Source organism: Homo sapiens, chromosome 7, assembly GCF_000001405.40.
Source record: "Homo sapiens chromosome 7, GRCh38.p14 Primary Assembly".
NCBI lineage: Eukaryota > Metazoa > Chordata > Mammalia > Primates > Hominidae > Homo > Homo sapiens.
The window spans coordinates 93,912,584-93,937,514 of NC_000007.14; the positions used below are offsets into that span (position 1 = coordinate 93,912,584).

Consider the following 24,931-nt stretch of genomic DNA (forward strand, 5'->3'; position numbering starts at 1 on the left):
GTGAAGTGTTCAGTATGGCCCCTTTCCTCCGATTAAAATAAATACAAAGTAAATATTTGCTATGACATTTAGTTTACCATTGGAGACAGATTCTGAAGCCCAGCAATGTGAAGTTAAAACCCCGACTCTTCCACCTTGTCATTGAGAACTTTGGACAAATGACCAAATGACTTCAACTCTTTGAACATTTTTTTTTTTTTTTGTATAAAACTAGTGATTAGGATAGATTATCTGAATACTTGTAATCCCTTAGATCACAAATGGGTATATAAAAGGAAGCCTAATAAATGTCCTCTATTATTATACTTCCCGTGGACATTTTCCCACCATCTGGAATTTGGTCATACTGATCCCTCCACCTGAAATCTCCCTCCACTCCACCCCACCCCATTTTCAGCCTTTTGAAATCCTACTCTTCTATGAGACTTTCTCTCCCAATCTACCTCAAGAGTATTTTGTGTATCTCTTAAGTCATTTAACATTACTTTACTTTCTCTTATTATAATTTCTATGGTTGTCTTAATTTCAGTGCTGTATTGGAAATTTCCCAAGCCAGAAGATCTGTTCATCTTTGAAACTGTCATATCAACTAACAAATTGTCTGGACAATGAAATTGACTTTAAAAGCAGGCAAGAATAGTGCTTATAAAATGTTTATATTGGATAATTCAGAATTCTTATTGACTTAATTCATGATTAAATCACCAGTAGGGGACAATTCCTGTTGCTTAAAACACAGATTGTCAGCAGGTTTTGAGTAAGAGAGAAATCACAGGAAGGAAGTATAGAGAAAGATGGTCCAGGAAGAAGGAAATGAAATCATGACTGTCCCACAGGCTACAGAGCTATAACTGTCAGTGACTTTGGTTTGTTCAGAATTTGTTATTTCAGGACTGGGATAACTAGGTTAAAGAAAATGAAGTAAGACTACAAGGCAACAAAAACCACTCCCACACAACCTTAACATGTGACTCTTTAACAAAATTTTCTGGTGTCATTAATGAGAATGAGTTATTATAGATACTACAATATATCATTTGAGCTACTTGGACTTTAAACATATTTTGCACACATAGATGAGTGTAAGCTTTAGTAAGAAAAAGAAAAAAGAAAAGAAAACACCTCACTGTTGTTTTAATTTGTACTGGTTTTATTTTAGCCAAATTTTAAAACCAAGCTAATATCAATCTTCCTAAATTACTAAAATATGAGTTAACATGAGGAAAATAGTAAACTGAGTAATGAGAATGATCAATTATGTATGATGGGAGTTAAAGTCTTACAGAAAAAAATGGTGAGGGAAATCTGTTTTTTTATTTTTTATTTTATTTTATTCTTTTGAGACAAGAGTCTCACTCTCTCACGCAGGCTGGAGTGCAGCGGTACGATCTTGACTCACTTGCAACCTCTGCCTCCCTGGTTCAAGTAATTCAGTCCCACCACGCCCGGCTAACTCTTTTTGTATTTTTAGTAAAGAAGAGGTTTTGCCATGTTGGCCAGGCTGGTCTCAAACTCCTAACCTCAAGTGATCCTCCCGCCTCGACCTCCCAAAGTACTGATATTACAGGCCTGAGCCACCACTCCTCACCGGAGAAATCATTCTGATACCATGAATTATAAGTAGTTGCTAAGATACTCAGAGCATCAGACACAGTTCATCTTTTGACTTGGCATTCTCTTCATCTAGAAAAGGAATCTTAGGGTCAGGTGCAGTGGCTCATGCCTGTAATCTCAGCACTTTGGGAGGCCTAAATGGGAGGATCACCTGAGATCAGCAGTTCGAGACCAGCCTGGCCAACATGGTGAACCCTGTCTCTACCAAAACAAAAACAAACTTAAATATACAAAATTAGCTGGGCATGGTGGCGTGTGCCTCTAATTCCAGCTACTCAGGAGGCTGAGGCAGGAGAATCACTTGAACCCAGAAGGTGGAGGATGGAGGTTGCAGTGAGTGGAGATCACGCCATGTATATACTTCTGAGAATTTAGGGATGATGATAAGCCTGGAATTTAATAATTATTCTCTTCCACCTTTACGAGTCACATTTTTGGAATGAGGAAAAAGATTTAATCAGTATGAAATCTGATGACATTCTTGACTTCCGTTGCCAGTTGTGTTCTGATTCCTGGGTCTTGTCTCCTTTGATGTTGGAGGCAGTGTCTACGGGGAATCTTTAGCTGGAGCATGGCCAGCTGTTTTTCCTTTGTCTGGAGATATATCCAGAAGGAGTGGGAAGGGTGCAACTTTCTTCTTTCCTACAAAGTACGTATGCATTGGTGGAAAGCAGAGAGAATCAAACTGAAATTATACGACCTGAAAACTTATTGCAGTAAATAAATTCTTGGCATCTGGAGTATTCTGTTTTAAACCAAATGAGTCATCCGTTTTTCCTTCCCCTTAAGGTATCCAAATGTTGTGAAGAAGAGATTACGTTGAAGAATGATCTGGCAAGGATCCACTGGTAAAGGGCATCCCAGAGGACAAAAATCCCTTCAAAGAGCTCAAAGGAGGCTGTGTGATTTCAAAATACCAAAAAAAAAAGAAAAAAAATTAAACAAATTCTTGGAAATATCTCAAACGTTAACAACAATATGGATTTTTTTCACACATAATGCTACTACTATGCATGTACATGAATTTTTAAATTTATAGATGTAAACTTTTAATAAAAATTGGGGTGTGGTAACCCATCATTCTATGTTTTTCTTAACATAGCTGGCACAGGGTTTAACACATAATTGCCAAAAAAATATTGCTTAAAGTTCTTTAAAAAGAACTATGTTTTATAAATGATTCTATATTATTCTGAGTTGTCAGCATATATTTACTGTTTTATGTTTTTTCACTTCCCTTTCAATACTTATAACTTTCTACCCAGAAATTTTGTGGTTAAATTTCTGTTTTCTTTCCCAAACTTTCTCTTGCTTATGGAATTAGGAAGCTTATTTTTCTGATATGCAGTTCACCTATCTTGTGACTTTTCCCCAGAATGCCAACTGGGTTGAGGGTTCAGTCTGTGGTCACGGAGCACGGTGAATTTAACCAGCAGCAGAATCACGGTTATAAGCATGCACTTAGGAGCCAGACAGTTCTGGCTCTGCCACTTTACTGCCCAACTCACTTTGGATAAGCTACTTAATTCTTTCTAAATTTGTTTCTCCTAGCATAGGATGAAGACAATAATGGTTATATCTTCTGTTTTGTGTAGGGGTTAAGTAATACACTAATGCAACTATAACACTCAGCATATTACCTGGTCCATGGTAAGATACAATAAGTGTTAACTAGTATTATTACTGAGAAAGGATCTAGACAAAATTTCTAAAGTGCTTTAAGAAACATGCTATTTTACCCTATCATCATGAAGACTCAACACCACAGTCTTTTCTTTAACAAGGTGAGCACACATGAGAGAGAAATCTCCATCACCTACATCAGGTCCTTCTGGCATCCTGTTGAGTTTACATGAGTCACATTTCACTACCATTGTGTTAATGACTAAGAGAAAACTTGCCTCTGCTTCTGTAACAAATGACAAGTTGTAATTACCTAAATCAGTAACCACTTTTGTGGTCAGTGTTTTCTTGTTGCTGTCTCACATTTACAGTGCTATTTTGTATACTTCAGTGATCAGAATACTCAGAAATACTAATTGATTGTCACACTTTAAAAAAAAACATTAAAATTATCTATTATTTGGTCTGGAAGGGAGTCTGAAAGTTGTACCAAAGTTTGGCTTCTAGCACAATGCCCTCCCACTCTGATCATCATAAATGCTCAACAAATATCTGTTGACTCTTGTCTAAACTCTTCATTTTGAAATGGAGAAAATAAAGTTTCAGAGAAGTCACCTGACAAATTTCTTCGGTCAAGACTCTGGGCTTCTGGCTGAACAGTCAGCAACACACCCCACCACGTGTCTTCATCAAATGTGCTCTGAGTATTAAGGGATTCTGGGATTAGTTACTGAATGTCTTATCTATTTTTCCTCAAGAAAAGCTTTTTATCCTCCTATTTAAATTTACAAAACCCTCTCCATACAGTCCTCCCAACCTCCACCAAGCGCTTCCTGTCTCTCTCTCTCAGTCTATTTTCCCCCGTAGCACCATCACCACCTGGCATACTACAATTTATTTGTTTATTTAATTGTGGTTTGTCTCTAGAAGTTTTCCACCTGCAAGTTAGTATTTATTTAGTGAAGTGTTCAGTATATCTCCCTTTCTCTGATTAAAATAAATACAAAGTAAGTACATGCTATGGCATTCAGTAACCTGTAGAAGATGGTCCTAACCAACATCTCTAACTTTCAGTTTACCATTGGAGACAAAGTTTGCAGCCCAACAATTCAAAATTAAAACCCTGACTCTTCCACCTTGTCATTGAGAACTTGGACAAATGACGTGAACTTTTTGAATCTGTTTTTTTTTATATATAAAATTAGTGATTAGGCTAGATTATCTGAATACTTATAATCTCTTAGATCAGAAACGGGTACATAGAAAGAAGCCTAACAAATGTCCTCTATTATTATACTTCCCGTGGACATTTTCCCACCACCTGGAATTTGGTCATACTGATCCCTCCACCTGAGATCTCCCTCCACTCCACCCCATTTCAGCCTTTTGAAATCCTACTCTTCTTATGAGACTATCTCTCCCATTCTACCTCAAGAGTATTTTGTGTGTCTCTTAAGTCATTTAACGTTACTTTACTTTTTCTCATTATAATTTCTACGGTTGTTTTAATTTCAGTACTACATTGGAGATTTCCCAAGTCAGAAGCACTGTTCATCTTTGAAAAGTGTCATATCAACTAACAAATTGTCTGGACAATGTAATTGACTTTAAAAGCAGGCAAGAGTGGTGCTTATAAAAGTTTATATTGGATCAAACTTCCTAAATGCCTCAATAATGTGTTTACATGAGGAAAATAGTAAACTAAGTAATGAGAATGATCAGTTATATATGATGGGAGTTAAAGTAATATAGAAACAAAATTGGTAAGAGAAATCATTTATTTTTATTTGTATTTTATTTTATTTTATTTTTTTGAGATGGAGTCTTACTCTCTCGCCCAGGCTGGAGTGCAGTGGTACGATCTTGGCTCACTGCAATCTCTGCCTCCTGGGTTCAAGCAATTTCATGCCACCACACCTGGCTATTTTTTTTTTTTTTTTTTTCAGTAGAGAAGGGATTTCATCATTCTGGCCAGGCTGGTCTCGAACTCTTGACCTCATGTGAGCCTCCTGCCTCAGCCTCCCAAAGTGCTGGGATTACAGGTGAGAGCCACCACTCCCAGCCAGAGAAATCATTTTGATATCCTGAATTATAAGTAGTTGCTAAGATACTCAGAGCATCAGACACAGATCATCCTTTGACTTGGCATTCTCTTCATCTAGAAAAGGAATCTTAGGGCTGGGTGCAGTGGCTCACGCCTGTAATCCCAGCACTTTGGGAGTCCTAGGTGGGAGGATTACCTGAGATCAGGAGTTTGAGACCAGCCTGGCCAACATGGTGAAACCCCGTCTCTACTAAAAAAGAAAAGAAAAAAAGAAAAACAAAATTAGCTGGCTGTGGTGACACACGCCTGTAATCCCAGCTACTCGGGAGGCTGAGGCAGCAGAATCACTTGAACCCGGAAGGCGGAGGTTGCAGTGAGCAGAGATCGCGCCATTGCACTCCAGCCTGGGCAACAAGAGTTAAACTCCTTCCCCTGCCCAAGAAAAAAAAAAAAAAAAGAAAAGGAATCTTAGGTAGGTAGTTACAGGAAACAAATGAGCTCCTGAAAATTGCCTCATGATTGTTTTAACAGATTAAAACAAATATCAAATGAACCAAGAGCGTCTGAAGTGTACTTTCTTTAAAGAAACCATAATTTCAATGGTCAAAACAGTTACTATGCACTTTTTAAATTTATTTATTTATTTATTTATATTTATTTATTTTTTTGTAGAGACCGGGGTCTCGGTATGTTGCCTAGGCTGGTCTCAAACTCCTGAACCTTTGGTCTCAAGTGATCCTCCTGTATCGGCCTCTCAAAGTCACTCTATAAATTTTAGAAGAGCAGACTTTGAAAGGTAACCTAGTTTACTTACACGAAATAAAAAAGCAGAAATAATGTGTTTCTTGCAAAAATCACAAGATAAAATAAGACCAGAATCCTGATCTTTTTTGAGTTCAAGTTAGTATTAGCTCAATTCCAGTTTAACTGCCTTCAATGTTTTATTTTTCTTTATATAGATTTTTAACAACATAACAAATCACAAAAATTGTCAAAACCTTGTTTTTCCTATTTTTGCATACCAAAGTAAAAATTTCATGGTTGTTACTCTTTTATAATTTAAAAGTGAAAATGGTTACTTTTATTTTTATTAACTAATTTCTATAAAACATTTGTGAAACGACAGTGGGCTAATTAATCAAAGTTCATTGCTGGTTGCACCTGTCATTTTTACTAAAGAATGGTTTCTACTCATACTACTTGTAAAATAAATTTTACCGGGGTACTATGTAAAATATAAGTAAAAACCTAACAAAACATTTGGACACAGCTAAACAAATTTTAAAATTTATTTATTCAAAATTTTTGAATATTGCTGATAAACTATTTCTGCAAGTATACATGAGAAATTGCTTAACATGGTTCTTCTCTGGGAGGTAAATTCGGTGTCTAGGCATAGAAGACTACACATCCTTTTGTTTAAAAAAAAATATTCTCATCATTTTACTATTTAAAACCAAACAGGGCCAGGCGCGGTGGCTCACGCCTGTAATCCCAGCACTTTGGGAGGCCGAGGCGGGCGGATCACGAGGTCAGCAGATCGAGACCATCCTGGCTAACACAGCGAAACCCCGTCCCTACTAAAAATACAAAAAAATTAGCTGGGCGTGGTGGTGGGCGCCTGTAGTCCCAGCTACTTGGGAGGCTGAGGCAGGAGAATAACGTGAACCCAGGAGGCGTAGCTTGCAGAGAGCCGAGATCGCGCCACTGCACTCCAGCCTGGGTGACAGAGCAAGACCCCGTCTCAAACAAACAAACAAACAAACAGGAAACCAGCAACAATAAAACCTTTTTCAGAATCCTGTGTGATCATGCAATTTCAACATTTTGCAATTCACTTCAGTTTAATCAATTTACTTAAGATATTAGAATATGAATTATTTAATAACAATAAAAAAGACTAACAAGTATTTTGTTTCTAATACGTCTCATAATACGATGGGAAAAGTTAAAGAACCAATATGGGCTTATAAGTATTTATCCCTCTAAGCAACTAGATGATTTCATGGGAAAGAAACTTCAAAGCCAAAATAATTATATTTTTATGACTTAGAACAAACACACATTAACAAAAAATTAGTCAGGCGTGGTAGCGGGCGCCTGTAGTCCCAGCTCCTCCGGAGGCTCAGGCGGGAGAATGGCGTGAACCCGGGAGGCGGAGCTTGCAGTGAGCGGAGATCGTGCCAGTCACTCCAGCCTGGGCGACAGAGCGAGACTCCGTCTCAAAAAAAAAAAAACAAAAAAACAAAAAAACAAAAAAAAGAACAAAAACACAATAATTTATTTAACCAATTTATTTAACTTAGGTGCTGAACCTATTTAATTTAGGCCACATTCACGTTGATTACTTTCACTAATTTAAGGTATTTTTGACCAACCTTTTAAATTTAAGTAATAGAAAATTTTAAAAATGAATTAGTGCACAAGACAGATATGGACATTTGTCTAGTCTCCCTGCTTATTTACAAGTAAACTTCAGTAGATGCTCTAACTACTCTGAGCTTGGAAAACCCTGGTATTTCAAATATTGAAAGTGAAGCTCTTAAACATTTTCTTTGTGAAAATGATTTATCATATATAGACATACCAACACAATTAGAGACACAACATAGCTTAGCTGATTCACTACTTCCCTGCCTTACTATACATTTTACAAATTAGAAAACCAAAACTAAGAAAAATTAAATGACTTCTTCAGTGATGGCCTGTGGCAGAGCTGCAACTACACGCCAGGAGTATTCATTAAGTGGTTCATTGTTTTTTTCATTCTAATTTATTCATTGAGGTTGAGCGGAGCGTGGTAAGAAACTAGGAACGAACAAAAACTCCTGCTTCCTAAACAGGGAATGGTCATGGGTGTCTTGGGTCAGCTACTCTGAAATATTAAGTTAATATTTCACTTGCCTTTGACTCTGTGAGGCAGGAGGTTATCTCTGGAAAGAAAGAGAAATATCCAACTGCTAGGGAAGGTTTCTTACATTCATGTTTGATTTTTCTTCTACTCTTTTGACCACCATCAACAAGACTTTAGTTACAGTTAAAGGGAAAGTTTTATTGCATGTAAACTTTTTTCACATCGGACACTTTTCCTGGCTTTCCAGAGCAACAGCTAGATAAATAGTGCTTGCCAGAAAGTGGAGAAACTAATACTAAATGAATCCACTGCCTACATCCAGGAAGGTTCAGGAGCCAGGAATTCAAAATCCTTGGTGTCAAGTGTCACCCAAAACTTAGGGTTGGGGAGTGGAGAAAGGCTTTCGGTTAAGAACTCTAAGATTCCTGCTTCTGTCTTCTCTTATATCATCCTTTGATGCACCCCTCTACATAACATTCCCCCGGAAAAATAAAAAAAATACAAACTCTGCTGCTGTTGAGGATGCAGATGATTATTTAATAATAGAAAATGTTCTTGCAACTTGTAAACGATATTCACACCCTGTTGCCCCCTCCTCGCCCAAAATGTATAAACCCATATTAGGCCTCGAACAAGCCGGATGGACACAAATGAGCAGAACACTGGTGGGTATTTCTGGGATTAGGGCTAAGCTTCATTTTCTTTTCAGCCTTTTCTTAAGCGTCCGCATTCTCCACTATGCATTTATTACGTTGGTGCAAAACTAATTGCACCAACCTATATATGTAATTAGAGAAAAGTAATTACTTTTGCAACAACCTATGTATGTAATTAGGGAAAAGCTATATCTAGCATATTTTTAAAACTCTTTGAGAGGTGAAGGGTAGTTATTTCCTGCTGGGTAGTGTACTCCTTTTCCTAGCTTCACAAACAAAACCCGGATGTGACTTGGAAACGGAAAAAAAAAAAGGAGCGGGGGTGCGCGGAGAACACAAAGTAAAACTTCTGCTGTTCCCAGTCCTGCAGCCCCAGCCCAGCCGTCCCCCGCGGGCGTGGCAGGTCCTGAGTCAGGGCCTGTCCGTGGCCAGCATCCCTGCTGGGCGATTGAGCAGCGGGAAGCTGCTTGGACCCAGTCTCAAACTTAACCCTCATCTAGCACCCGGGCAGGCCTCCTGGGTTGCAGGGACTTGAGAAAAGGCAGAGTTCTCAGGTCCTAGGAAGCTGGGGCACGCTGGCGTGACAAGCGTCCCGGAGAAAGCCAAGCCCTCGGGGAGCTGGGGACCGCAGCAGGGCTGCAGTCACATCCTGCGCGGGTGGGCGGCGGGCCAGGCCTTCAGTTGTTTCGGGACGCGCCGAGCTTCGCCGCTCTTCCAGCGGCTCCGCTGCCAGAGCTAGCCCGAGCCCGGTTCTGGGGCGAAAATGCCTGCCCTTCACATCGAAGATTTGCCAGAGAAGGAAAAACTGAAAATGGAAGTTGAGCAGCTTCGCAAAGAAGTGAAGTTGCAGAGACAACAAGTAAGTTGGCTGTTCCGGAATATTTCCTTCTCTGAAATGAAGCAGGGTCCGATTTTTCCTGCTTAGTAACAGTAAAGCAAATAGTTTAGCTTATTTTTCCCCCTTTTTGTAGCTTCTCTTCTCACCACCCTTTGGCAGTGCCTGGGGACTGCCAGCTGATGTGGGGAAATCCTAGGAGGTAGAGGAGGGAGCAAGGATCTGATAAGTAATTTAAGGCCAAATGTCCTAACTTTTAAGATGCCTAGGAAGGGGAAAATAGACAAGAAATCTTGCTTTCCATTAGACAGCTGTTTTTCAAAACTCACTTGTAGGAAAAAAGCGGATAGCTACTTGGTTCTTTGATCTTTTACACTACTAGAAAGGATGATATTTGAAAGAAATTTTCTAAAACCGTATTTTAAAGTCTTACAAGTACATTATTTAATTTTGAATTTCACCAGTGGCCTTCAGTGATATGCAAAGAACAGTCCACCGAAATTTGGGAACAAAATATTAGAATTTCTATATTTATTTGTAAATCTCATCCCTTTATAATTTTCACTTTATGTTTTATTAGTATGCGATTAATACAGTAGTATCTGTACTTATTTATAAATAATTATACATACACTGTGGTGCATATGAAAAATTTTTTTAGTGATCACAATTTTAAAGTTTTAGAGACTATTGATAGAGATTACCATTTCATTGAGAACATATGACCCAGTATTCAATATTCTCCACTGAAACGTCTCGGGAGTTTTATAAGTTTTACTTCAATTTCTTACTGGTCATCAAGACCTTCCTTCAGACACTAATCCCTCTTCCTGTTTTAACTCAATCAGGCATCCTGTAGACTAGGAAAGGTCTTTGAATAGATATTGTTTAAAGATAATTAACCTTTCCTCTTCAGCAAGAAAATTTTGAACTGATCTTATTTATTATGGTTTAGCACTAGAAAAAATTAAGAAAAACAATGGAAATGAAGCGTTATAATATGCTCACTTGCCTTCCTGTTCTAGTTATAATAAATCTGTTAAGGGCAAGAGTCTTCACTGTTGAGTGATGATTAGAAGATGCAGGCATTTTTGTGTTTTACTTTTTACATATTTCTTTTCTCAAATTTAACCTTTCACATCCAAATCCCGGCTCTTCCTAGCTTTTATAATGAGCTGTCCCTTCTATCATGTTAAGGGTTTGTAGCTTTAAAAACACCAACGCGTTTAAAGGGGAAAAAAAGGAAGTTACACTACCCAATCAATAAGCACGCTTCTTGAAACCTTAAGGGACCCATTTTATGGATGGCGAAGTTCCCAGTACAGCAAGTGCTGGCCACTTAGATATGTTCACACAATAAACCTTAGGAGTTACATATTAAACAGAGTTTCATATGCTGAAGTACAGCATTGTCTATGCAAGGTTCTAATATCTTAATATTTGGTATCACTGTGTAGAACTTAGGAAAAAAGACAAGCGTCTTCTACTTACTCAGAGTTTTAAGTTAAGTGATGTGGATGCAACCGACTATGTAAAAATTGACTGTATCATTCATTAGCAGTTTCTCCCTGCTAGCCAGCCTGACCCTTTAGGACACGGCCTGTGGCATCAACTTCCCACCTCCAGAAACCTCAAGTGTATGCCAGAGGGAGAAAAAACTTTGGATATATGTAACCTTAGGAAATACAGAAAGAGGCATCTAAATCTCAACAATAATATTAAGACATTTGATTATACACTTGGAATTATACATTATTATTGCTAGGCAAGCATTGGAATGTTTAGAGATCATTCATCTCCCTCACTTTAAGGATTAAAAAAAACTTGAGTCCCACAAAGGCTAACTAGCTCCACATTTAAGACCACAGAGATAGATAGTGATAGGGCAGGTACTAAAACATTCTTCTTCTCATTCCCAGTCCATTATTCAGTCAATAAATAGTTAACATCTGGGCTACGTGTTCAGTCCTTAACTTAGGCCCAGACAAAACTTGCAAGTTGCATTCTGGCTGTAGTTAAATGTTTATCAAACATGTCCTCTTGATTATGGAAGGAAATGTATCAGAGGAGCAATTACTCACATTTGGAGGTTACAGACCTCTTCTGAAACCTAATGAAAAAACCTTGTAAGAAAAGATTCAATGTAGGGAGCATGTATCTTGCTGAGAAATTAACCTGGGACGACAGACCCTAAATTATGACACGTGCATTATCAACTCTAAAAATTCACTTAAAATGCATGCACTCTGAATGTCAACAAACGAGAGCAAATGTTACCTGAAAGAATTGTATTTGAAAGATTTTATTTTGCCAGATTTTAAGTCACACAACTACATCACCTAGTTTTCAATTTGAGGTCAGAGGCTTCCACACTGATTTGCAGAGGATAATCATTTGGGGTGTGGAAGTAAAATGTTAACATTGCTATTTCTGTTTAGTTTTAAACCTCACCCATTTATAATTTCCAGTTTATGTTTTATAATTTTGCATGATGTATTAACAAAGCAGTGTCTGTACTTATTTGTAGTTAAAAATTATATTCATTTTGGGATACACATGCAAACATGTTTTAGTAGTAACCGTTAAAACAGTTTGAGGTTACTAATTTAGATTACTAATTCAATGGGAACATTTGCCCAGTTTTCATAGGTCTCCATTTAAATTTGCTGGTGCGGCCTGGCGCGGTGTCCCACGCCTGTAATCCCAGCACTTTGGGAGGCCAAGGCGGGCGGATCACGAGGTCAGGAGATCAAGACCATGCTGGCTAACGTGGTGAAACCCCGTCTCTACTAAAAATACAAAAAATTAGCCAGGCGTGGTGGTGGGCGCCTGTAGTCCCAGCTACTTGGGAGGCTGAGGCAGGAGAATGGCTAGAATCCGGGAGGCGGAGCTTGCAGTGAGCCGAGATCCTGCCACTGCACTCCAGCCTGGGCAATAGAGCAAGACTCCATCTCAAAAAGAAATAAATAATTAAATTAAATTAAATTTGCTGGTACTTCTGTAATTTTTACTTTAAATTTCTTACTAGCAATACAGGCCTTCATTAAAACCCTAATTTCTTTTCTTTTGTTTTTATTCTTTTTTTAATTCATTCTTGCAACCTGTCTTTTAAGGATAGATAGACTTTTTGAAGAAACTCTTCTTTTAAGAATAGACTTTTTGAAGACACTATTCAATTTTTTCTCCATCTCAGAAAAAAATTTATTCTCAGATAAGCCTAATAAGTCTCAGATAAGTCTTTTATTATGATCATTGCCCTCATGCAGCAGGAAGAAATTCTGAGGAGCAACACAGAGTGCGATATTTGGACAATTCCAATCTTTCCAGAATCAGGCTTTTTCCAAAGCTTCTATCATTTCGTGAAATTTCAGAACATGGCACACACCCATAAGTGAGAATCGTGGCATTACACACCCCAAAACATTTGGGGATTATCTACTACTGCACCTGCTCACTAGCATGGAAAATTAAAATAAGAGTATATTTCAGTTCCTAAAATATTGTAGACATGGCATAATTGTATTTTAGCAGAGGAAGGAAATCATATGAGACACAATGGAAAAAAACTGCTGGAGATGATTTATTTAATGCAGTGACTTTCAAACATTTTTTAATTTGACCAACGACCAACAGTAAGAAATATATTTTACATAGGTTGCATCATAGGTATAGTAATAGAATAAAAATATTAGAGTGCAGAGCCCAGATTTTATATATGTATTATATATATAATATATACACACACACATGCACATATATATGTAAATGTAAAAAAATGTTTAAAAACTTATTGTATTCAATTATACTTATTTCATTAAGGCGTAGGGACAAAGTTTAAACAACCCTAACCTAATGTATTCTCTTTTTTTTCTATACTTAAGGTGTCTAAATGTTCTGAAGAAATAAAGAACTATATTGAAGAACGTTCTGGAGAGGATCCTCTAGTAAAGGGAATTCCAGAAGACAAGAACCCCTTTAAAGAAAAAGGCAGCTGTGTTATTTCATAAATAACTTGGGAGAAACTGCATCCTAAGTGGAAGAACTAGTTTGTTTTAGTTTTCCCAGATAAAACCAACATGCTTTTTAAGGAAGGAAGAATGAAATTAAAAGGAGACTTTCTTAAGCACCATATAGATAGGGTTATGTATAAAAGCATATGTGCTACTCATCTTTGCTCACTATGCAGTCTTTTTTAAGAGAGCAGAGAGTATCAGATGTACAATTATGGAAATAAGAACATTACTTGAGCATGACACTTCTTTCAGTATATTGCTTGATGCTTCAAATAAAGTTTTGTCTTGGGAAGATGAGTGTTGGTGATTTAAGAAGACACTTTTCATGCATTAACTTTTATATTTCTCCCCGTAATCTTTTGGGTGTGGAGTATGATTGGGTTTGGAATATGATTCAGAAGGTTAGGTGGTTCGACAGATCACATCTCCAAACCCTGCGTCAATGGTTTAGAGTGCTGAGTTCTGACCTCTGGAACGTGTTTGATCTAACCTTAACTATTAAGAAACTGAGCAGGTAGAATTCCTATAACATTGACAGAAGTCAGATTATCTGAGTCAGGAACAAGGCCAAGCCACATCTATGTTAGTACTTCCCTAGTTTATCATCATTTAGATCTTCTTAATAGTGTTCCTGTAGTAGTAGCCTTGAAGAAAATACTGAGTTGGGGTTCAGGAAGAGTGCCCTGCCTCTCTGCCGTGTAGTGGCCAGGCCAGCCCTGGCTTTGAGAGCCAGTACTTATTCCTGCACAGAGCTACATCTCCCATGTGCTCTCCAGGTCTTGGGCATGGCACTACTCCAGTTCTGTGGCATTGGTGCAGACACTTGGACCTCTGCACTCATGCTTGCCAGCATTTTCCAGCAGGCCTGGGCCAAACATGCCTTTTTTTCTTCTCCTCCAAAGGAACCAGTGAATCTTTGCCCACTTTAAAGATTAGTTGGTCTTTTTCTTACTGATTTGTAGGAATTCTTCATATATTCTGGCCATTTATTCGTGTTTGGTGATATGTGTTGCGAATACCTTCTCCCAGTCTGTGGCTTACCTTTTCACAGTGACCTTCCCTTCAGTGGTTTTATCCTGCAGGGCAACACGTCAGAGTATAACTCCTGCTCAAGTTCATAACAAAGGTACCTGAAGCCCAAACCTCACAAAAAGGGACCTTTCTTTCTCACCTTGAGCATTCTCCCGCTTCTTCTCCGTCTTTTGGGTCAAAATTGCTCCAAGTTTGAGCCAAAAGAAAAACGTGGAAAAACCCTTGCTGGTTAGCTCTAGCTCAAATGGACTTAGTCATTAACTTGACCTGCAATTTTCAATGTGGCACCAGAAGCCAATGTTTCTCCTTGACTAGCTCTTTTCTCCCACTTACACATGTAGGTATACCTTACTATCAAGCGAGAGAGGCGCCTGTAACCTGTAGCAGCTTTCTAAAGTATATCAGCATCCTCGTTCTGAAATTCCTTTCCTTTCCCTCTCTGGGAAAGAACAGAATACCCCAGGCTTTTGAAAAATAGTTTACACAGACCAAAAGCAGAAACTATTTCCTTCAGTTTCCTGACACTGTCCAAGTGATGACATCAATTGGCATTACTGAGAGCCCAGGGATAATTTTAGCCCAAAACTACTACTCCTAGGAAGGAGTAGTATGATCTACTACTCTTAGGAAGGATTTAGGAATAGTAAAGGTGTATTTCTTCCAAACAGCATAGAACTATTAGTACTATTAGTCATTTAACATTTAACATGGCATGGGATTTTAGAGCTTTGGTGCCTGTAAAGTTTTACTTCTATTAGCTGTTTCATTTCTTTGCACTTATAAAGTTTTCTTCTGTTGCCTATGAAAGCAAACATTTATTCCGGTTACTGGCAAGGCAGTTTAAATCACCTGCTTCTTTCATGAAAGGCCAAGACAATACATTTATTCCCTAACTTGTTGGGAGTTGCGATTACAAGTCTATATCCTGATTTCTATTAGCACATTCAGCTATCCATTTGTGTACACTCCCAAGTCCTAGCTTTTGCTCTTCATGTCTCTTTCAACCATATGATCAATCAGTTGGACGACTTCTGGTTTTTCCTGAATAAATATCTAATCTTATAGGTGCTTCTATTAAATATAATTCTGTTTCTTTTTCTTACCATTTATCATTATAACCCAGCCAACATGTAGAAGTGCAATAAAAATATTTTAATTTTCAACTGTTCAACTGCTAAAATTATTAGCTTGTAATTAAAAAAGAAAAAATACATCCACTATATATTTAGATATATTGTAAATGTAACCTTTGGTGACTGATAATTTGTTAAGTAGAATTTAAATTATGTATCCAATTTATTCAAAGTGTATAGTTGTGTAATTATTTACTATTTGATTAAAAATAGTTATCATGCATTGTGTAGTGAGACTTAGGTTCTATAAACTCATATAGAATTAGAAAAATCAGGCCGGGCAGGGTGGCTCACGCCTATAATCCCAGCACTTTGGGAAGCTGAGGCAGGCAGATCACGAGGTCAGGAATTTGAGACCACCCTGACCAACATGATGAAACCCCGTCTCTCCTTAAAAATACACAAAAAATTAGCCAGGTGTGGTGGCGCACACATGTAATCCCAGCTACTCAGGAGGCTGAGGCAGGAGAATCACTTGAACCCTGGAGGCGGAGGTTGCAGTTAGCAGAGATCACGCCACTGCACTCCAGCCTGGGTGACAGAGTGAAACTCCATCTCAAAAAAAAAAAAAAAAGAAGAAAGAAAAATTGGGCTTTTCTATTTCTAGGCAGAAGCTACCTTAAAGCTCACCCACACTTGGTATTGTGAGACCAAAATTTTTTGTATGCTAGATGCAAATTAATATCTCACCATTGTCTAAATTTGCATTTCTTTGATTTCCAATGATTTTTAGTCAGTTTTCGTGTGTGTCAATTTTCTCTTTTGAAGATGCCTGTTCTCCTCCTTTGCTGGCAACCACTAATTTGTTCTCCATCTCTATAATTAGGTTACGACTGCTGCATAAATTAAATCATACAGTAGCTATCCTTTTGAGGTTGGCTATTATCATTCAGTATAATTTCTTTGAGGTTCATCCAAGTTGGTTGTGTGTATCAATAGTTTATTCCTTTTTATTGCTGAGTAGTATTTTATGCTACAGAGGTGCCACAGTTTACCAATTTATCCATCAAAGAATGTCTGGGTTGTTTTCAGTTCTCTGCTAATGCAAGTAGAGGTGCTATGAACATTCATGTACAGATTTTTGTATGAAGATAAGTCTTTGCTCATCCGGAATAAATTTTTAGGAATACATTTGCTAGGTTCCATGGTAAATTTATATTTACTTTTTAAAAAAACTACCAACCTGTTTTCCACAGTGATTGTACCATTTTACATTCCCATAAGCAATGTATGAGCAACTCAGTTTCTCTACATCTTCATCAATATTTGGTGTTATCACTATTTTTCATTTTAGCTATTGTGGATAGTAATATCTCATTATGGTTTTAATTTTATCTCTCTGATAGCTAATGATTTTGAACATTTTCCGTGTATTTGCTATGTGTATACCCTCTTTGATGAAATGTCTATTCTTGTGTTTTGCTTATTTCTAATTTGTTTATTTAATGTTGAGTTTTGAGGGTTCTTTATATATTTGGGATATAAGACCTTATTAGATATGTGATTTGTAAATATTTTCTTCTATTCTATAATTTGTTTTTTAAACCTTTTAATGCTTTTTTTAATCTTACAGAGTAGATGTTTTCAATTTGATGAGGTCCAGTTTATCCATTTTTTGTCTTATAGATCAAGATTTGGGTGTCAAGTCTAAAAAATATTTATCTATTCCTCATCCCAAAGACTTTCACCTGTGTTTCTTCTAAAAATTTTATTGTTTTATGTTTTATATTTAGGTCTCTAATCCATTTTAGTTAATTTTTGTATGCGGTGTGAAGTTTAAATATAGGCCTGCTCGCCCCTTCCTTCCTTCCTTCCTTCCTTCCTTCCTTCCTTCCTTCCTTTCTTTCTTCTTTCTTTCTTTCTTTCTTTCTTTCTTTCTTTCTTTGCCAGTAGTCTAATTGCTCTAGGATCACTTATTGAAAAGGTTATTCCTTCTCCATTTGATTGCTTTTGCTACTTTGCCAAAAATTAACTGGGCATATTTGTGTGAATCTATTTCTAGGTGTCCTTTTCTATTTTATTCATTTATGTATTTATTCCTTTACCAGCTCCACACCGTCTTGATTTCTACCACGATATAATAGGTAGTAACATCAGGAAGAGAGATTCTTCATACTTTATTCATCTTTTTCAAAATTGTTTTGACTATTATGTGGGCTTTCTCTTTTCATGTAGAATTTTACAATATTTATGTCTACCAAGTAAATACATGGTCTCAGCAGTAGAGTGGAGATGACAGATAATAGAATCAGTAGGCCTGAACACAAATGTATAGGATTTTCTCAATCTGAACAGCAGAGAGCAGATAGGTTTTTAAAAATGAACAGATCCACAGTAATACGTAGAGTAGTAACAAGAGATCTAGCACTGGCATAATCAGAGTCCAGGAAGAAAAGGAGAAGAGTGTGGGAATGAAAAAGTAGTAAAAGAAAAGTAGTGGATAAAAATGTACAGAATTTCATAAAAGATGTAAATCTACAAATTCAAGAAGCTTAGCAAACTATAAACATAATAAACCTGAAATAATTCACATTTAGACACATCATAATTAAACATTTTAATACTAATGACCAAGGAAAAACTTATAAAAGGCCAGGGATAAATGATCCATTATGCATAAAGGAAGATGAATTTGAATTAAGTGGATTCCTCATCAGAAACTCTAGAGGCCAGAGGAAGAGGCATGACATTTTTAAATGCTGAAAGAGAAGAGCTGTAAACATTAAATCCTTTATCAGTGAAAGGATTCTTCAGGAATTAGGAGGAAATAGACATTCTCAAATGAAGGAAAATTAACAGAATTTGTTGCTAGCAGAACTTCTCTTGAAGAACGGCTAAAGGAAACTTTCAAAACAAAAATAAAATGCCAACAACAAAATGCATATATTCTCAGGAAAAAGGAAAAATAAAAGATGAAGGATAAAACATTGAAGCAGACATTATAGACTATCCTTGAACTTGTCAGTTTATTTAATCATACTTCATGGCTGAAGCAAAAGATTTAATACCATCTGATACAGTGTTCAATATAAATAGACATAAAACAACTATATTTAAAAAGTGGAGCTAGTAAAAGGACTTAAACAGAACAACTCTAGTTCTAAAAAAACAGTATTAGAAAAAAAGAACTGTAGGTAATAAATCTATGTTCCTGCCTAGATAGCCTGCCCTGGGAAAGAGAGCTAGGTTGTTTAAGGTAGAACATGCTAAGTACATAGCAAGCTGATTCAAGTCATGGGAGGTCCAATCAAGTAGTGCAAAGATGTGATTAATCAGGATAACTACTTGGCAGAAGAGTGATTGGTCCTGGTTCATATGCTCTGGAACCAATATAATAATAACAATTTTAACCTGTACCAACCAAGTGGGTGAATTTTGCTTTCTTAATAAAAATCATATCACAACTTGAAATTATTATGAACATGATTGTAAACTCTAATTATATGTCAAATAGCTTTTTACATATTTATTCCATGACGTAATCTCTCAGTTTAGCATCAGAAACTATCTGATAGAAGCTACATGAATTACAGAAGAGAGCGTAAAAGAAATCAATCAGACCCTGCAAGGAGTTTTAAGTGATAGTCAACCAGCTCTAAAGAATTGCTTATGGGTACCAAATAATATTTTCTAAGAAGTGATCAATTTGATCCACTGTAAAAACTCGTATGTTTTCTTTAATTGTTCTTTAATAACGTTAGCCATAGGCTTTAGCTTTATCTCACTCTTGTCTCATCACCAGTCTGAGACAGATGATTTTAATAATCTACTTCACAGAGCTGGTTTGGGAGTTAATGGGCTTGATTCTCTAGGCTGTGAACAGAGATCTTTAAATCCATAAAAAATACTCATTTCTTGCCACTCATCACTGTCGGTAAGTGGCTTCACATCCTTTTGGGAAGTAATCAAAGTAAATATCAACATATAAAAATATATCTATTCTAAAGAATTTGTATATTCACTTACACTTTCACAGCTCTGTTTAATATAGTACAGGAAAGAAAGAAAAGGGAGTGGTCCTGCCTTATTAAGTTTTTTGAAATGGTATTGAAACCTATACAGGTCTTAATCTAAGAGAGAAAAATGAAGAGAGAAGAGAAATATTTAAACTTATATTCAATATTTGAAAACTTAACCTGAAAACTCTGATATTGATATAGTTCACTGATTACTTGAGAACAGTTCAAAGTCCATTGTCGTTAATTGTTCCTTCCTTATAATTAAAATTATGTGTCAATGAGGAACATTACAACATGGATGTGTATGCTCTTTGTCAATATCCAGCCTTGTCTTTTCTCTTTTTTGTTTCCACAAATCTTTGAAAGACTGTATGCAATTGAGTTTCCAACTGATTTTTGCTTACATATAATATTTGAATGTAAAAGCAGATATGAGGTAGAATAAATTAATATTTATTACTATTTAGATTTTTCAATTTGGGGTGGGAAGTAATTTAGACATTTAAAAACCATTCATTTCAATTTTCCCAAACACATGGGTCAAAGATCTGTAAATGTTACCCTTTATAGACAAGTTCAGCCAATCTTTTTTTGTATTGGCAGTTGAAACAAATGGAATTGGCAATTGAAACAAATGGTAGCAACATTTATTAAGTTCAATTAATTAAACCAATCTTATGTACAACGTGTAAGGGGATTAACTATTTGCAAAAAGGAGTAATAAGTGAATGATTACAGTAAGACTAGGACATTTCTAACTTCTGGTGACATTTCATAGGAGGATAGACAGTATCTTAAATGAAGCAGAAGAATTTGTGAAGTATTAAACTAAGAAGAAAAAAATTAACTTATTGGGTGCAGCTTGGCAGCCCAAGAAGACATTTATCAAGTTTATATAGGAACAGGAGGAACTTGCTAATTAATTGAGTACACTGTCTTTGGTAAAAAAGCTTTGGAATATCTTTTCAGCCACTGTGAGTAATGAATTACCCCAAATTCAATGACCGAAAACAATGCATTTATTGCTTGTGAGTCTACCAGCCGGCTTATCTGGGCCTGACTCTGTTGAGTTTGGCTGGTTTCACTCAGTTGTGGTCAGCTGGTAGATCAGCTTGGAGCTGACGGGTAAGTTGGGTGTTGGCAAGAAGATGTTTGGGGCAAAGGGGGTGATGGGGTCAGGTGTCTTTCATCCTTCAACAAGATTCCTTGGGCTTTTTCTCATGGCATGGCAGGCTTCTAAGCAAAAGAGATTAGAAGCGTGAAATGTGTCTGAAGGCCTACGGAAAGAACTGGCACACCATTACTTTCACTGCATTCAATTGCCCACATCAAGACTCAAATCCAACCCATATTCAAGGGGAAGGAAAATACATGACCCTTCTTGAGTGGGGAAGCTGCAAATTCACATGGCAAGAAGCATGAATACAAGGAAGGGTGGAAAGTTCAGGTCATTTGCAATCAATCCACCTCATTAGATAAGGAATTTTGTCTCAAACATGGGCTGTAGAAGCCAATTAGAATGACCTAGGAATATGTGGGAGTGGGGTTGAAGGATATTCCATTAGGATAAACTAGAAGGTTCTGATGCTAAACACAAAAAGTGGGGATGGTCAGTGTACAGATGTATAATAATTCAAAAAGATTGGTAGGGGGAGGATTTGAAATCTATTATGAGAGAAGCATCAAAATGAATTAGTTTCAGGAACTTGACAAACCCTCCCAGCTAATGTAGCAAAGCCTAATTTAACCTAGGGGAAAATAAGCAGCCTCCTAAAAATTAATTTTACTAATAGACATATAAATTCCTGGAAAGCAGGACTGCAGGATCTGATCATATCCCTCTTGTGTCTTTTGTTATTGAGTAGAAATAATTCTTGCAGCTTGATCACCTCTTCATGCTGAAAGATTCATATTTAATAGAGCCAGACTCAGTGGAGTACCAAGTTTTCATTTGTTCCCAATACTAGTCAGTCACTTTGGTGAGGGTAAATACTACAATAGGCAAATTTTGCTAGTATTTCAAAAACTGATATATTGTGCCCCTCTGCCTTCCACCCACCCCTAACTCAACCTTTGGAACAGTCTTCTTTGCTTTCTAGTCTTTTCCTAATATTCGGTCTCAGGTAGCAGAGATGAGAAAGATGCCCAGAGAATTGGGGTTTGCTATTTAATCTACGCTTCATTCCCCAAATTTGCTTCTGTTTCAGTTCTGTCTGAACGTGGACTTTAGAGAGACTCCTATTGATATTTTTTTGGATGCATGCCTTTATTGGAAGATCCTACTCCCCTTGAAACAATACATTTCTCTTAATAAGACTGAACTCTTTCTCTGTAATCCTGATCAATATTTCTCAGGCTTCTGCTTCCTTTTACTGTGCTGAGAGTTTTTCACATAATTCCTCATATTTTGCTATAGTGAAAGGTACAGTTTATCTAAAAAAGGAGTTTGCTAATACTTTTTGATTAATAAGTAACATAGTCACAAGTTTGAGGACACAAATCATGAGCTTAAAGCATTACATAGCCTTGGTGCATCCATTGACTTGGTAGCTGACCCTGGAAATATGGGATTCTTTTCACCCTTTTAGAAAGACATTTTCCAAAACATACCTCTCTTTGAAGAATTTAGTTGAGTGTCTGGAATCTAAAATTTATAACATTATCATGCATTTGTATAAACTAAAAAATAGATAAAAGGTTATGCATTTGTCATCTACTGGAAGGGAGGTAAGGTAATATTATAAATGCATTTTGCTGAAGTTATAAATCATAATGGTGTTACTAGCTCAGGGGCTGCCAAACTTTTTCTGTAAAGAGCCAGATAGCAAACATTTTAGCCTTTGCAGGACTACCATCTCTGTGACAACTACTTTAATATAAAAGCAGCCACAGGCAATGAAATACATAAACCAATGGGTGTGGTTGTGTTCCAAAAAAACCATTTTTTATAAAAACAAGCAGCAGGCTGAATTTGGCCCACAGCCATAGTCTGCTGACTCCTTCGCTAGATCAGTGTTTTTCAAACTACATATTAGAACCCATTATTAGTGGTCAGTTTTGTGAAATGTAACAAATATTTTGAGTAAGATAAAATCAAATGAAGTAAAATATCAGCATATATTCCATCGAATAAAAGGACATATCATATGAAATATATGTATGTGTTTGAGTCAATATTCAATTTTTTTTTGTAGGCTCCAGTCATGGAAGTTTGAAGGCTGCTGGTCAAGAGCAATGAAACTGAGTCCAGCTTTGGATAGTGTGTAGTAATGAATTAACCTTGCCCAAAGAGAGATCCGGCCTTTGCCCTTGGCCACTGGGGAGTAACCTCTAAGCCCTTTGAAAGTTCTGCGTGACAAGAATGCCTTTGTTTACCTGGGGCTTTGGGCCATGCAGAAAGTCTATCATGCAGTTCCAGTTTGATTTCTAGGGCCATGTAGTATCAGCTTCATCTGAGAGACTGGAGGCTGAGACCAGTTGACCAGGGAGCCCCAGTAAAGACTCTGGATACCAAGGCTCAGGTGAGCTTCCTTGGTTGGCCATAGTTCATGTACATTGTCACACAGTGTTTTCAAAAGTGTAGTGCTTTCCGTGACTCCACTGAAAGAGGATAACTGGAACCTCCATGTTCAGAACTTTCCTGGACTCCACTCCATGCATCTCTTCCCTTGGCTGATTTTGATCTGTATTGTTTGGCTTTAACGAACTACCACTGTGATTATAAAAGCCTTCAGTGAGTTATGTGAGTCCTAGTGAATTAGTGACTCTAAGGATGGTCTTGGGGAATGCTGAACCTGAATGGGTATCAAAAGTGAAGTCAGTCTCATGGACTGTGTTCTGTTTACCTTCTAAGATAGGTGAGGAAACCATAAGTCAGATGCTTTCATAAAGGTTGTGGAGCAAATTAGCAGCAAACCCACAATGAGAATATTAGGTTTGTAGTTTCCATATTTAGAGGCTTCTTTCTTCTCCTGTGCATCTTAATGCTGCTTGTCAACATTTGTGGAGTGTATCTGACTTTGTGTTGAAGGCTTTGTACACATTATCTCATTTTATCCTCACAAAGACCTTATAAAATATGTACTAGGATTAGTGACAAAACTGAGGCTTGAAGAGCTTAGGTAATTTTCCCTGGGTCATACAGGTTTTCAATGATGGAATACGGATTCAAACCCAGGGAATCTGATTCAACTTGAGTTACTTTTTTCACTGCTTGATATTGTTTCTTTTGGGTGTTGTACATTTCCTTCTTTAAAGAAGCTGAATTTCTTTCATTTGAAACCACCAGGTTACCTGATATATGTGTAAATAACAAATAATTGGCCGGGCACGGTGGCTCACGCCTGTAATCCCAGCACTTTGGGAGGACGAGACGGGCGGATCACGAGGTCAGGAGATTGAGACCATCCTGGCTAACACGGTGAAACCCAGTCTCTACTAAAAATACAAAAAATTAGCCGGGCGAGGTGGCGGGCGCCTGTAGTCCCAGCTACTCGGGAGGCTGAGGCAGGAGAATGGCGTGAACCCCAGGGGGTGGAGCCTGCAGTGAGCCAAGATCGCGCCACTGCACTCCAGCCTGGGTGACAGAGCGAGACTCGGTCTCAAAAAAAAAAAAAAAAAAAAAAAAGAAACAACAACAACAAAAAAACAAACAAAAAACAAATAATTGGATCACATATATAATATATATCTTTTGTATTCCCCTCAGTACACAACATAATTAACACTTAATGAAGAGAGGTTGAAACAATGAATAAGATATAGGGTAAAGGGTTAAAGTCCCACATACCTTCTTGGTCTTCCACATTGCTGTTGACACCTTGGTTTTCTTCCTCTCCATCTTTGCCTCCATTATCCTCCTCTTCTTCTTTCTCTTCTTTCTTCTCTATTCTCTCTCCTCCTTTCTCTCACTTCTTCTCATTCTTATCCTTTATATCCATCATCATCATGATTATTATTGCCAAAAACTGATTAGGCTAATTTCAACCTCCTATATTTCCTAAAAGCTAAGTTAAAACAAAATTTCCGCTGAATGAGGTATTTGGTTGGGCTTTGCTTAAACAGATATTTGCTATAATGCTGTCTCTGAGTGTTTTACTGCTATTTACAATACAATGCAACCCAACATTTTCTCTTTTCTTTCCTTTACATATTAGAATAAGGATACC

The 24,931-nt window shown here is 37.2% G+C and overlaps 1 protein-coding gene and 1 long non-coding RNA gene across 2 annotated transcripts, besides 2 other annotated features; one reads left to right on the plus strand and one right to left on the minus strand.

The window, feature by feature from the left end:
- Positions 1,359–24,931, minus strand: LOC105375402 (uncharacterized). Its single transcript, XR_927751.3, has 3 exons — positions 24,553–24,931; positions 3,853–3,937; positions 1,359–2,512 (listed from the first exon to the last, which is right to left on the minus strand). It is a non-coding gene; the product is annotated as an uncharacterized LOC105375402 (long non-coding RNA).
- Positions 1,756–2,955: an enhancer, noted in NCBI's record as "P300/CBP strongly-dependent group 1 enhancer chr7:93543651-93544850 (GRCh37/hg19 assembly coordinates)". NCBI's record gives its function as "activates an origin of replication core promoter dependent on BRD2, BRD4, P300/CBP, MED14 and CDK7 cofactors, with strong dependence on P300/CBP, by STARR-seq in HCT116 cells {active_cell/tissue: HCT116}" and the evidence as "EXISTENCE:reporter gene assay evidence [ECO:0000049][PMID:35650434]".
- Positions 8,754–9,389: an enhancer, noted in NCBI's record as "H3K27ac-H3K4me1 hESC enhancer chr7:93550649-93551284 (GRCh37/hg19 assembly coordinates)". NCBI's record gives its function as "activates a minimal SCP1, AML or CMV promoter by ChIP-STARR-seq in naive H9 embryonic stem cells {active_cell/tissue: H9 hESC(naive)}" and the evidence as "EXISTENCE:reporter gene assay evidence [ECO:0000049][PMID:30033119]".
- GNG11 (G protein subunit gamma 11) lies at positions 9,152–16,027 on the plus strand. The gene is made up of 2 exons (NM_004126.4): positions 9,152–9,650; positions 13,508–16,027. The coding sequence occupies exons 1-2, from the start codon at positions 9,555–9,557 to the stop codon at positions 13,631–13,633; spliced, it is 222 nt and encodes a 73-aa protein (NP_004117.1). The 5' UTR covers positions 9,152–9,554; the 3' UTR covers positions 13,634–16,027.